The sequence below is a fragment of the Homo sapiens genome, chromosome 4 (genome assembly GCF_000001405.40).
Source record: "Homo sapiens chromosome 4, GRCh38.p14 Primary Assembly".
Lineage (NCBI taxonomy): Eukaryota > Metazoa > Chordata > Mammalia > Primates > Hominidae > Homo > Homo sapiens.
The window spans coordinates 97,711,941-97,727,682 of record NC_000004.12 but is presented as its reverse complement, the minus strand read 5'-3'; the positions used below and the strand labels follow the sequence as shown (position 1 = coordinate 97,727,682).

At 32.6% G+C, this 15,742-nt stretch overlaps 1 protein-coding gene across 7 annotated transcripts in view; it reads left to right on the top strand.

Moving 5' to 3' along the window:
* The window catches only part of STPG2 (sperm tail PG-rich repeat containing 2), a 702,228-nt gene that overhangs the window by 415,794 nt on the left and 270,692 nt on the right, over window positions 1–15,742 (top strand). For all 7 annotated transcript variants that reach the window (XM_047450118.1, XM_017008049.3, XM_011531886.4 and 4 more), the window contains one exon: window positions 14,869–14,984. In XM_047450118.1, the coding sequence (XP_047306074.1) occupies window positions 14,869–14,984 (116 nt within the window). The remainder of the gene's footprint in view (window positions 1–14,868; window positions 14,985–15,742) is intronic.

Below are 15,742 nucleotides of genomic sequence, written 5' to 3'. Positions count from 1 at the left end.
TTTTTTCTTTATGTGTGAATTAGCATATCACAGGCTCTGATATGACCTGTAATAAACCTGTTTGAACCTTGTTTAATCTAACCTTCCCCAAATTTGACCACAGAATGCTTTATAGTGTGTTATATCAGCTAACATTCTATGAAAACTTGCATTCTGCATAAAAAACCTGGGGGTATATTGCTTCAGTGCTTAGAAAAGCTAGTTTCTGTTTTTTGTGTATGGCTGATAAAATAAACGTTGTCATCTTTACCTGTTTTATCCTATTCATATAGTAAACATATCAACTTTTCACTGACATACAACAAGACCCATGATGGAAAATTAGGTATGGATAATCATACTCATAAAAAAGGTGATTTATTTTAATTTCTAGATGGTTTTATTAAGGAAAATAAATATTAGAAAGATAAATATAAAACTAATATGGAATCATGAGATAGACACATTATTAATTTATAAATACATTTACATATACACATTATATGCCTAATATACTTATTTACATAATTCTACATTTTCAATGACATTTTACTGTAGAAGCCAAACTATAAGTAATTATGTGTCTAATTTTCACCTATTCCTTCTGATGACTTTGTGAATTTCAGAATACACTTAAAGACTCAGATATTTCAGAATGAAGTATAATTCCCTTCTTTTCAAAACCTTGTTTCTATCTCTACAGAACATATAGTTTTAGAAACAGAAGCTATAGAGATAGAATAATGCTTAACAATAATTTCATTTTCAATGAAACATCACAGCAGATGGAATGAAAAGAATCAGTTGGAGGAGGCCTCTTGCCAACATAGGTATATTCTCTGTGTGTGTGTGTGTGTGTGTATGTTTGTATTATGTGTGTGTGTGTGTGTATGTTTGTATTATGTGTGTGTGTATGATATATGCACATAGTACCAAACCAACTTGTATAGAAGAGCTTAGAGAAAAGCAATAAACTTTTCCTTATTAATTCAAAGTCCCAGAAACAAAATTTAAAAATTACTCAGTGATGAGTGAAGTAGAATGCAAGGATTAATTTTCTTTCTGTGGCACCAAAGCCATAATCTTTAATATTCTCAAAGTAGAATATTTTGGCATAAGAATCACTTGGATTTCCACTTCTGCATGTCATTAGTTGCTTAAATTTTGTCACTTTTTAATTTAGTTTCAGATCTAGATCATTACTTTCTTACACAGTTATCTGGAATTTTATCTTTTTAAAAACTGTAGCAAAATACACGTAAGAGAAAATTTACCATCTTAATCATTTTAAAGTGTACACAGTGGCATTAAGTACATTCACATTGTGTGCTTCATCACCACCATCTATCCACAGAACTCTTTTCATTTTGCAAAACTTGAAACTCTTGTCATTAAACAATAACTTCCTCTCTAGCCCCTGACCACTACCATTCTATTTTCTGTCTCTATGAATTTGACTACTTTAGCCACCTCATATGAGTACAATATCATACAAATTGTCTACTTTTTTCTTGAGTTGATTCTCATTTTATCCAAAGTTTCAACCCCTCTGGAGACCTCTTTTCTGGAGCCCATTGATCTGTTTTTGTTTGGATTGATTTTTCTCTAGGCCTGATTTGTATTAAACCTGGGCTTTCATTTTATAGAGGTGGTGGCAGGACTTTATATTTCAAGATATCTTCCTTTTGATCTTACTTTTTTTTCTTTTGCTTCATTGTCTTCTAGAATCTGGTTTTGCTGATGCCAATACGATCAGAAGGCATTTTGATTTTTTTTTCCTTTGTGGGGGACTTAAGACCTTCCTTTTTTTGGAAACATTTAGAATTTTAAAAACTTCTTAATGTTCTACAGTTTCACAGTAATATATCTACGGCTGAATATCTTTCAATGCCTGGACTCAGGTCGTTTATGTTTTATAGTGTCCTTTTACATTTGAAGAATTCTATCTTTTTTAAGCAATCTGTATTTTGTAATTTGTTTTCAGCATTTTAATTTTGTCTTTCTGGAAACATGGATTTTGGTTCCAATAGAATTTTTTTTTAAATATCTTTTTATCTTTCATATTTTTTCTCTCTCTCTGCCTTTTTACTCTAAATTCTGTAAGGGTTTTTGTAAGCTATTTTTCTTATAATTTTCTATACCAACAGTTATGTGCTCCTGGAGTACATTGTTCTCAGAATGCTGTTTGTTTTATAGATGCAATATTATTGTGAATGTATTTCATCATACTATTCAATTTTGAAAGTTATATATTTTCTATATTTTCCTAAACTATTTTTTTTTCTTCAGGGTCAGTTTTTCTATTTATTTTGGTCTTTGTCTTTCATGTGGCTATTTCTTATCATACTTAAGGAAACAAAGACTAAATATTTATCTAGTTTGGGTGCTCTTTGGGTGCACTAAAAAAAAAAGTGGTACTATTCTCTTCTTGGTCTCCCTTTCAGCAACAGTTCTGACTTGCAACTCTGTGTAGGTTAGCAGAGGAAGGGATGTATGTATTATTGGAATTTAAGATGAATTTATTAGTGGACTTTAGGATGAATAAGTAGAACACCCGACTGCCTTCCCACTATCATACCTCATCCTCATTTGCACATGCTCTTTTCTCGTAATAGCAAGTATTAAGCATAGTAGGGGGAGATAGGCAAAAATATATTGCATTCTAAACTGCCTAGTCACCTAAAAGCAAAGATAAATCAACAGGATTTGAGTCAAGAAGAGTTCTGGGAGCAGTGTTTTCTAGGGTATTCTCATATTTCTGTACTGTACTCTTTCAAGAAGTACTTGAATAAAGACCTGCATAAGCAATTTTTAAATTAAATATACCTATTGTGATTTAAAAATCTCAGAAAGTTATGAATACAAGTAACTTTCTTAACTTGATAAAGGCTATAATACTAAGATATTATTCTTAAAGAAAGGAAGACAAGGATACCTACTATTACCACACCTTCTTAACAAAGTAGGTGGTTCACATCAATACCTAAGGATAGAATACCTAATAACACAAAAAGAAGGAAGTATTGGAAGAAAAGATATAAACCTACTTTAAATTGCAGATTATAGCATCATATAGCAAATTTAAAAAATATCCAGAAACTACTAGAACTGATAAGAAAATTCACCACACTTGCTGGATAGAGAATGACTTACACAGCCAGTAACAGTTCTCAATACCAGCAGTGATCATTTTCAAAAGAGTAATGAAATAATGTACAACTCACCGTAAAAATAACGTTCCTAGGATTAAATAAGAAAAAACAATTTCATAAAGAGAATTTTTAAACTAATAATAGACATAGATAGTGGTCTGAATAAATGAAGAGCTATTCTAGGCACTTGAATGTGATGACTTTATATAGTCAAGATATCAGTTTTACTTTTCTTAATCTATAAATGTAACCCCACTTAAGATTCCAGTTGGATATTTTGAAGAAATTAATGATCTCATATAAATGTGTGTAAAAATAAAGGTATATGAAGAGCTTAAAAAAAGGAATAGAGAAGGGGAGAAATTCCAATACCATTTATTAAGACACACTGCAAATCTATATTAATAAAAACTTTGCGGTTTTGTCACAAAAGCAAGACAAATGGATAAGGAAACAGAAAATTCAGAGACAGATTAATGTATATGTGAAGACAATTTATTGTAAAGATGTCACTGCAACTCAATAGGTAAACAAAAATTATTTAGTTGACATACTGGGAAAACTGACAAACTTACTGATATGGTTTGGCTCTGTGTCCCCACCCAAATCTCATCTCAAATTGTAATCACCACGTGTTGAGGGAGGGACCTGGTTGGAGGTGATTGGATCATGGGAACAGTTTCCCTTATGCCATTCTCATGATAGTGTTATCACAAGATCTGATGGTTTAAAAGTGGCACTTCCCTCTTCATGCTCTCTCTCCTACTGCCTCGTGAAGAAGTGCCTGCTTCCCTTTCACCTTCCACCATGCCTGTACATTTCCTGAGGCCTCCCTAGCCACATGGAAATGTGAGTCAATTAAACCTTTTCTGCTTATAAATTACCCAGTCTCAGGCAGTTCTTTATAGCAGTGTGAAAATGGACCAATACATTTACCAGAGAAAATAAGATTAGATCCTTACAAAATACCATGCACAAAAATGGAATCTATATGGATTAAAGACCTAAATGGAAAGGTAAAACTACAAAGTTATTTGAAGAAAATATCAGTGAATACTGATTTTTTAATTAAAAAGAAATCAGATTCAGTGGGTACACTTGCATGTTTGCTGCATGAATATATTGCATAATGGTGGGGTTTGGTCTTCCATTGAATCCGTCATCCCAATAGTGAACACAGTATCCAATAAGTAGATTTTTACCCTTAACCCCTCCCTCCCCCCTTTTGGAGTCCTCAGTGTCTAAGAGAATACTGTTACAACCTAGAAAGTGGGGAAATACTTCTTACTAAAAACTCCAAAAGTAACGACTATAAAAAAAAAATCTAAGCTTAACTATTTTAAAACGAAGGATTTCTCTTCAACATTTGGCATCCTAGGAAAAGCTCAGTAGATGACAGAAAGAAGAAATATCTCCAATATTTAAAATTGGCAGGGACTCGGCCGGGCGCGGTGGCTCACGCCTGTAATCCCAGCACTTTAGGAGGCCGAGGCTGGCGGATCAAGAGGTCAGGAGATGGAGACCATTCTGGCTAACATGGTGAAACCCCGTCTCCACTAAAAATACAAAAAAAAAAAAAAAAAAAAATTAGCCGGGTGTGGTGGTGGGCACCTGTAGTCCCAGCTACTCAGGAGGCTGAGGCAGGAGAATGGCGTGAACCCGGGAGACTAAACTTTCAGTGAGCCGAGATCGCACCACTGCACTCCAGCCGGGGCGACAGAGCAAGGCTCCGTCTCAAAAAAAAAAAAAAAAAATTGGCAGAGACTCAAATATGGACTAAAGAAATTTATGATGTAAAGGAGAACAAAACAAGATATCCCAAAAGAAAATGAAAAAAGTATACAAAAGTGTTTTATAGGTCTATTAATTATTGCTTATTTTATTATTTTCAATAGAAATTCAACTTATTCCAGAAAGACTCATGTTCCCTCTTAAGACTCATCTATTCATTTTTATATTCAGAATATAAAAATGAATATATGTAGAATATCAAAATGAATGTTAACATTTTAAACCCTAAAGAATGACAATTATTCTAACAGACACAAAATAAAACCCCTCAAAAAGTGTGGCAATTATGTGACAAACACATAAGGCTCTGATTTTAATGATGAAGTTCTCTAAAAAGACTGGAGTTACAATTATCCAGTCATTTTTAAGGAAAGGATAAATTCATTTTATAAAACATATTGGCATGGGAAATAATGTAGTATCAGATTTCATCTAAGTGTAGAACTCACCATTTCCCCTCCAGGCTTAAGCAAATATTACATGAGTGAGGGCTCTTGTAAAATGTTATGTTTTGAAATAGATTTCATTAATGGCTTCTAGTGATAATTTATGTCTCATTTATACACAAGTCTTTTCTCATACTAATCATGGATAGCTTATTTGCATATAAATAGATTTCAGTATTTGCTGAAGCAAAGACCAAATATGCTTCTTTTTTTTTTTTTCCCCTCCTGGACATTGTTAAAAAGAAAAAAAAAGGAGGGGAGGGGGACATTGTGATAATTAGCAATCAGGATATATAATAATTTTCTTAATAAAAAATTTTTGTAGGCAACATTCTTTGGTGTTTTTATTGATATATTTCATGTCAAAGGTTGTGACCTCTATTAAAATTATAAAGAAAAACAATCTGCACAGTTTTTGCAGTGATATATGTTTTAAAAAGAGTATTTTGATATTGGTTGTTTAAATGTTTACTCTGAGTCTCTGGATACTGTCTCCTAATTAGGTTTTACAGTTTCTGATGTGTACCATGTTCTGTTTTAGAGAAGGTAAATGTAATTTTTGTAACTGTATTACTTAGCTAAATAAATTCTTTACTTCTGAGCTGTAACAAGTCATATGTTTATTGTATAAATATGTTTTGTTTATTTCAGTTAATAGTGTACAAATGCTAAGCTTTCGGTCATCATATAGTTAAAAATACCAAAATCTTAATTTTTTTTATTATAGAGTATACTTCCTTTCAAAATAAGTCTTATAATAAGAAGACCTTTTGAGTCTACTTTTATTTCAACTAACAATGGACATTAGTGAAGAAATAACAATTAACTCAATGTTTGTAAAAGATATCCATTTGATATTTGCTTCTTGACTTTCAGTATTTGAAATAGGATATGCTCCTGTATTGTTGCACTGTAAGTGAATAACCAACTTCCTCTTATGACACACAATATATCTGAGTAATTACTTGGGGAAATTAAGATAACAGCTGCTTTCTGGTAGATATGATGTCCATTAATATGTGTCTTTCTGACCAGCAGAGGTCACTCCGTGTAAAGTGAATAATGACTTCAGCTTTCAAAAAAGACAGCAAACATGACTGTTCTTTTTGAGCAATTCGTTTTTACTTGATTTCTGTTACTAGCAAAAAATGCTGTTTTCATCTCTTGCTATACGTGCTTGCCTAAATGAGTGAGGCTGTTCCTTGCAGTTGAAAGATTTTTCTAAACATGAAGGCAAAAGTATAATCCTGAAAGAAATGGTTAAGGCACTGTATTTAAATCTGTATGTTTTTGAATATTATACAGATGATTTCTAGTTAAAAATATGAGGGAGAAGATTGTCTCTTAGGGAAGACGTCACATTGCATTCTACCACAGAGAGGCAGCCTTCACCCAAAGATAGGATGTAGTGCTATTGGATTCTAGAAAAATAGCATTTAACTCTAGAATTTGTTTTATTGTTGTTTATAACAGGCTTTGAAAGTAGCAGTGTGTGGCAGCCTTGACAACTAGCAGTGTGGTAATATGGAGATTTGAAGACAACTTGATTTTTAGAATTGTGATATTTGTGCTTTCCTTAAATGTGTTTATACTTACAACTTTTAAAATATATGGGTAAAACAAAAATTACCTCTATTTTTGGTATGCTAGTGAATTAGTAATTAATTCAAAAAAAAATTCCCTAAATTTATCAACTATGCTTATTTATTCCATCTCCTAGACCCAGTTCACCTTTTAGAGAATTGTCATGCTGTGGTAAAAGCATAACATTGTCATTTGATTAATATGATATTTGTTTGGCAAATTTGATGGTTTTGGAGGTGCTGAGACATCTAATGGAGATTAAGAAGGCAGCATGAAGTAGTAAAAAGAGCTGTTAAAACCATAAAGTGAAGCCACAGCTCTGCTATTTAACTCTGTTTCCTGTGAAGTTTAAATAATAATTTTCCCCTTTCTACCCTCTCAGGGATATTCCAAGGATGAAAAGCAGGTACTTTGATCCTTACTCATTTTATAGCTTATGAAAGTTGTTTAACTTCTCTGAGCTGGTTTTTTTAATTTCTATTACAAAAGAGAAGACTAAAGGTGAGCATGATTTAGAGAATTAATCAAGGTCACATGGCTATAGAAAGCTTGAATTTCAATTTAGGTTTAAGATTTATTCTAGAAATAATAGGCTAAAATAACATAGAGATGAAAATATACTTGCAAGCATTGCCTCTTCAGTTATCATGAAGTAAGTTTGCCAATTTGGTCCAAGATTAAAATAGTATGACATCCACATAACAGAATTCATACTGAGTGAAGGATGTATACTGAAAAGAAAGTCTTTTTCCTAGCTTAATACTGCCAGCCTCATGTTAATCTCTTTCCTCCCAGGTAACAATTGCTCTAACATGTTTACAAATATTTATGTGATGTATCATCTAAATGCTATTTGCATATTATAAATAGAAATGCGACTTCAATCCATCTATTTCTTTTCATGGACAATTACTAAAAAGAAAGTAAAATGACAAGAAAATGGTTAAAATGCTTAAAGTCACAGAAGTAGATTCTAGGTAGCTTATAAATTGATTCTTCCTTTCTTGATTCAGTTCAGTTCAGCTCAATAAGCATTTATAGAGGCTCTACCGTAGGCAGGCACATAAGATTCAGATATATTTCAGAGAAAATTATAGTCTCATCCAGAATTTCGGAAGGTTTATTCTTTGTTTGGATCACTGGTTACCAAGATTATTTGAGAGAAAACTGATTTAAAGTATAAATATTTTTAAGAACAACAACACACTAAATTGTAGTTTAGAGGTCAAAACCAATGGGTTTTATTGAAATTGTTTTCTTGGTCCCACTTTCAGAGAATATGATTTATTATTTTGGGATGAATCCAAGGAATCTTCATTTTTACACTAATTGGGATGATTCTGATGTCTGTGGTCCATGAACAACATAAAATATATGATGCTGCATATGATTGTTTTTGTTTTTTAGTCTGATGTGTCATGCCCTACAACAAGTTCAGCCAGAGACCAGTGGAGTAACATTTCTAAAGCTATAGAAGGGTAGTGAATAAACCCTGTGAGCTGTAGGTACTAAAGCCAGATGAAGAATCCCTTAATTATTTGAAAGTAGACATTATTAATGTAAAAAATTCCACTGTTAGTTATCTTGGTTGTAATTAACCAGTGGTAGTCTTATCCAAAATGATTGAGACCAGAAGAGTTTCAGATTTCAAAGTTTTTGGATCTTAGATTTGCATTACTTATACTCAACAGTTCAACATCCCTAATCTGAAAATCCAAAATCTGAAATGTATCAATGAGTATTTTCTTTGAGCATCACGTTGATGCTTGAAAAGTTTCAGATTTTGGAGTACTTTGGATTTCAGATTTTTGGATTAGGAATATTCAGCCTTAGTTGATGAGAAGCTTTGAAAGGGAAGAATGCTGCTGAATTCTCACAGTAGTCTGCTGTCTCTTATTCTAGTAGGACATAGGAACAAGGTTAAGAATATTTACATTACATGATTACAGGATCATAGTGACCAAAGAATACTGTAAGGGTGAAGAAAAGCATTCTTATTTAGATTTAAATCTATATATAGATTTTGGTTCACTAAAAAGGAGGACAAAGGTTACTGAAATATTCAATGGTTAATCTAATAGTTCTTTTTTAATATCCAATGAATGTAAAAAAATTTTGATGACATCAAAGCATGAAAAGTATTGTATCATTCATTTCATCTATAACATATATTTGCTTTAGGCTACAGAATTTGTTCATTTAAGTTGTAAATGAAATATTAATCTTTGCTTAATTGGCTTCTCACTAAATAAATAATGTAGGCTCCTCTTTCTGGAAACTCTAAACTCTTTGACTCTAGCTTTTTCCTAGCAGACCTATACAGGTAAAGATGTTAGCAGCAGATTCAAATCCAAACATATTTAGAAACCTTACAATTTTTAACAAGTTGAGAAAATGGAAAATAGTCACAATTTAAATGGTATAAATTAGTGATTTTCTTTAATGTTTGTGAAGAATTTAGTTTATTTAAATCAAGTGTTTTAATTATTTTTAAAATAAAGTTGGTATTTTATTTAAAGGATTTTATGTGACTTCATCTGTGATGTGACATGTTTTAGCATTATCCTGATTTGTACATGTAATATTCCCAGAGATAAGTATCAGTCTTGACAGAGGGAATGCCTTGCTAAATAGAGTGGTGCTAATTTAGCCCTGAGAATGGTGATCTAAGGGAACTTCAAATATATGTTGAGACTTATTCTACTTTTTTGCCTTGATAATTTTCTTGGTAATATGGCTCCAAACCTTTATGTAAGAACTGTGAAGTATAAAACCAAAATTTAATTATGAGAATTTGCCACTAATATTTCAGGACAATTGTGAAGTATTCTGTTTACCTCGAAGACAACTTCATATTTTATTATTTGGTAATTCTGTTCATTCTTACAAATAATTCATGTGTTACATATTTATGTACTGCCTACTCAAAGTGGTTTTAGGTGAAGGGTGATTATCCTTCCTTCCAGTTGGTTCCTGTAATTCACACAGAAACTGTATTACACCCACATTTATGACTGGTGAAAGTCATTCAAATTTATCTACAATGTATTTACGTTATCACAGAGTGGAAGTATCTTTTTTATAGCAGCAGTTGAAAGACTTCACTTGACAGGGCTTATGGATGTACATTTTGATAAGTATGTATTAGAGGTACACAGATAAACAGACATTGCTGTCTGAAGAGATATTTCAGTCAAGCCAAATCCATATGACTTTGTATTTATATGTCATAACAGTGACAGCCCTATAGCTTAATCAGTGCTAGGAACACATGTTTTAACAGGTGCATGCTTTAGGTAGATGCCAGGAGATGAATTTCTCAGTCTACTTAGTTTGGAGTGCATTAAAATAGTTCATTTCTTAGGGGCTTTGTACACAATAACTTCCAGATACTCTGTAATAACTTTAAGATATCCTTGAACATGTAAAATCTTATTTCTTAAAATATGAAATACCCTTTTGGTTTTTGAACAGATAATTTAAAGGGATGGCAAAAATAAACATGGACATTTTGTTTAAAATTCGTGTAGTATTGGGACTCTTTTTTCTCTTACCTATAGCTCAATTTAATAGACTGTGCAGTTCTATGGTCATCTGAAGTGCCATTTAATCAAATCTAGTCTTAGAGGTAGTGGAAGAGCATTAAACCTAAATGTGTCTCTGGCATTGATGATGATACTTCTTTGTGTACTAGTCTTTTCTCTTTGCTATTACTTCATTTGTAAAGCTGAAGAATAAAATCAGTATGAGAAAATGTGTTCCATAAATGTATAAACTTTCTAAATGACATTTTAAAACCATGAAATTTCAATGGACAATTTCCTAACTGATTTTTAACCCCTTTTTAAAAATTGTACTTTAAGATCTGGGATACATGTGCAGAACGTGCAGGTTTGTTTCATAGGCACCACCATGGCACGTGGCCATAGGCACCACGTGCCATGGTGGTTTGCTGCACCCATCAACCCATCACCTACATTAGGTATTTCTCCTAATGTTATTATCCCTCCCCTAGCCTTCCACCCCCCACCCCCACAGCCTCCAGTGTGTGATGTTCCCCTCCCTGTGTCCATGTGTTCTCATTGTTCATCTCCCACTTCTGAGTGAAAACATGTGGTGTTTGGTTTTCTGTTCCTGTGTTAGTTTGCTGAGAATAATGGTTTCCAGCTTCATCCATGTCCCTGCAAAGGACATGAACTCATCCTTTTTTTATACCTGCATAGTATTCCATGGTGTATATGTGCCACATTTTCTTTATCTAGTCTATCATTGATGGGCATTTGGGTTGGTTCCAAGTCTTTGCTATTGTGAACAGTGCTGCAATAAACATACGTGTGCATGTGTCTTTATAGCAGAATGATTAATAGTCCTTTGAGTATATACTCAGTAATGGGATTGCTGGGTCAAATGGTATTTCTGGTTCTAGATCCTTGAGGAATTGCCACACTGTCTTCCACAATGGTTGAACTAATTGACACTCCTACCAACAATGTAAAAGCATTCCTGTTTCTCCACATCCTCTCCAGCATCTGTTGTTTCCTGATTTTTTTAATGATCACCATTCTAACTGGCATGAGATGGAGATGGTACCTCACTGTGGTTTTGATTTACATTTATCTAATGACCAGTGATGATGAGCTTTTTTTCATATGTTTGTTGGCCACATAAATGTCTTCTTTTGAGAAGTGTCTGTTCATATCCTTCGCCAACCTTTTGACAGGGTTATTTTTTTCTTGTACATTTGTTTGAATTCTTTGTAGATTCTGGATATTAGCCCTTTGTCAGATGGGTAGATTGCAAAAATTTTCTCTAATTCTGTAGGTTGCCTGTTCACTCTGATAATAGTTACTTTTGCTGTGCAGAAGCTCTTTAGTTTAATTAGGTCCTATTTGTCAGTTTTGGATTTTGTTGCCATTGCTTTTGGTGTTTTAGTCATGAAGTCTTTGCCCATGCCTATGTCCTGAATGGTATTGCCTAGGTTTTCTTCCAGGGTTTTAGTATGCTCATATATGGGATATTTAATTTTTAGTAGATTTGTGTCACCTTCATATGAAAAAAGTATTCATAGTAAGAATGATTACATTATTTATAATTTTAGCTCATTATAAAGCAAACAACTTATGAAATCTGAGATTTTGTAGCTTTATTTATAGAAGTTTTTTTTTCTGAGGCCACTCTAATGTACCAAGATGTTCATATTGAAGGGACAGAAACATAGGTTTTTATTTTAAATTACTCACTGTTCCTGTTATGTTCCATTTTTGCCCTGTAGCATTGGTTGACATTTCATAGAGACTGAGTTGTCACAGGGCTGGAAAATATGCAATTATAAGAATCACCTACTCTTGAATTTCCCATTATACACTAGCCATGATTCAGGCAGACTTTTCATAGGTGTTTGATTTGGAATGAGAAGTTTTCTTCCTTATTACCTGTGATTAAAATGTGACATTTTGGTATCTAAAAAGAAGATAGTTTCTGCATAATCTAGCTATGAATGAGAGCTGATGAAGCAATGTAAGTCTTTGACCTGTATCATATAAGCAATAGCATATGTAATTGAAAATGTATTTCAAGACTAAGTATGATAAGGCTTTGTTTTATTTAAAAAATATTCTGTAGCTTAAAGCAGGCTAAGTGCTAAAATGGAGCAAGATGCATATTGAGAAGTTTTGCCTCACTTAATGTTCCTCAAAGGAATTCCAATAAAAAGAAATCTACAATTACATTTGAATAATTTCTTTTCTTTTAATGAGTTATAGCTGTGAATGTAAATATTTATCAGTTGCTGTAGCCTGATGGTAAGGGTAGAGAATAGACTATATTTCTTCATAATTGAAAATGAAAATTACAGTTACAATAGTGTTTGGATAATAGCCTTACCTGTTGCATTAACCTTTATATATCTTTACGGTTAAAACTACAATTTTCAATTAACTGACTATGGAATTATGATGTACCCAGCTTCTGGTGATAGTTTGTGTTTTTTTAATTCTGAATACTATGGTCGATGATATATTTTCCCTTACATAGTTTGTGTTTGAATGTCTGTCAGTAAAGATGTTATGTATGTATATGTGCATTATTCCTCTGCACTATAAATATAAATTATATTATTCCAAAGTTGTGCATGCTATTGTTTTATAGTAAGATGGCATTTGCAAAAACACTTTCCTTATCACTTGGTATATCAAAACACATTAGCTTCCCACAAGGAACTTTAGATAGCTATATCTTAATTGAACTAATATTAAAAATGACTGGGCTAGAGCCTGGATGTCCTCCCTTATTTTAAATACCAGCTTTTCACTTGATGTATCAAAACACATTAGCTTCCCACAAGGAACTTTAGATACTATGTCTTAATTGAGCTGATATTAGAATGATTGGGCTAGAGCCTAGATGTCCTTCTTTGTCTTAAATTTTGAAATGTCCTATATTAATGAAGCTAAAAACATTAAAAATGTTTCATACTAACCTATTAATTTAAAAATATTTTAGATTTTAAAGCATCAACAAGAATGTATTTGCCAAAGTAGGTAGATTGAATTGCATGCTTATTAGGGAAATACAGATAAATTAATTTTGTATTTTATTAATATCATTATATCTACTCTTCTATTTCACTGTTTATATTTATTGTCAATATTCTGTGGCCAAAGGTTTTATTTTCTCTCCCCATACATTGCCTCTCTGATGCCCCCAATCTAATTTCATTCACTACCATTCTTCTGAAATTATATTCCACATATTCTACAGTGTCCTTCCTAAGTCTTCTCTCCTCTTGAAACATTTGATATAGTAGACCTCTAACATTCTCTTGAAACACAAGGTTTGGCATGTGATAGACACTCAATAGTATTGTTTAAAATATGAATGAAGAAAAAAAATTACGTCTCCCTATCTTCTCTCTGTGAAGTCATACTAGCTAGGTTCCATTCACTAGACCACAGGTCCCGTACCCTGGGCCAAGGACCTATACCTGTCAATGGCCTGTTAGAAATCAGACTGCCCAGCAGGAGGGGAGCAGAGGGCAAGTGAGTATTACCGCCTGAGCTCCACCTCCTGTCAGATTAGCCTGACATTAGATTCTCATAGGAGCTCGAACGCTATCCTGAACTGCACATGCAAGGGATCTTGGTTGTACACTCTTCATGAGAATCAAGAATCTGCCAGAATTTACTTTCTAAACTACCACTTTTCATGACTATTTAATCTAAAACTTTTAAGAGCTACCCATTGTCTATGAAAGTGGTTCTCAAAAGTTTTTAGAGATGTTGTGAATAAAAATAATTCAAACCTTTTCAACTTGGGCTTTACCTACAAATTATCCTCTGGTCACTTCTGTAAGAATTTGGGGGCATTGAAGAATACAAGTTGGAACCCATTGGCTTAAGTACAAAAATCCTTATTTAGGATTAGGCCTTGTTCCATGCAAACCATCTGTTTACTACATTTGATTGCTCCATGTGCATTCCATCTTTGCGTCTTGATTTCCGTAATGTTTACTGCCCAGAATGCTATTAAAGCACCTTTCTGCTTCTTTAAATCCCATTTGTATTTCCAAGTGCAGCTCAAGCCCTAACTCCTCACTGAACATGTGAATGAATATTTAGGATATAAGAGTTAAGCATCTTCATTCATGATATAAAAGTATATTGAGGGAGTACTATTTTCTCCTTTTTGGAAATTATTGCTGTAATATATTTAATTATTAGGTAAACAGATGCCACTATCTTATGCTTATTATATTTCAAAGACATAAACCAAATGATTTTAAGCATTCAAAAACAATGGGTTCAAGATTGTTTCATGCTAATTTTATACATTAAGAGCACAAACCTAATATTCATATGACCAAAATCAATAATTTTAAAATATACTTTATCATAATTTTTACATTTGTTGTCTCTCAGGTCCTGCAGCATACAATCCTGTTTTAAGGAAATCTTGCCCCATACCCTTATTTGTGAAAGCATCAAAGCGCTTTGAAGAGTCCAAAGAGATTACTCCAGGCCCAGCAACATATGAGGTTTGTCAATATTTCCTTCTTAACAGTGACACAAGAATAGAATTAATTTCCAGAAAGTACTACAAATGTATATATTAAAGTCCTTTCCATATATTTTATTCACATTGCTGATTAATGAAAATATTTTGACTAAGGAGATTTTTGAAGATGTGGTCTGACATTTAAAAAGAATTATTTAAGAATTTAAGAATTATTTAAACAACTTTTCTATCTCTAAATATGCTTTGCAGTATTCATATATATAATTTATTTATATTACTACAAATATTAAAGTTCACTTGCTTACATACTTGTTTGTATTCATACATTGAAATCTCTTAGTATTTATTGAAATAATTATTTATCAGAGAGCTCACAAGAAAGCCCTGTGGATCAAATAAAATTGTGTGTTGCTCTTTTATTTTCTTTTAATGAACATGGATGCTGTATTTAAGTTCATAATAAATAAAGGTGTCTTTTAACCTATGGACCTTCTGATCATAACCTGAAAGATTTTAGAAACTGTGTTCACAATAGCCCTTTATTGCCCTTTAGAGAATTAGAATGAAATAGGTTCCCCATTCCTACCCTACTAACTATTGAAAGTAAAATATTTTATAGTGATTTGTAACAATTAATTTAAGAGTTAATTCTGAGTGCAAACCAAAATGAATGTTCTTTTTGGGGCTAATGACAAGTTTATTTATATTAAATACATGTTTTTCTCCTTACTTAAAATGTCACAATCTAAGGCCAGGCACAGTGTCTCATGCCTGTAA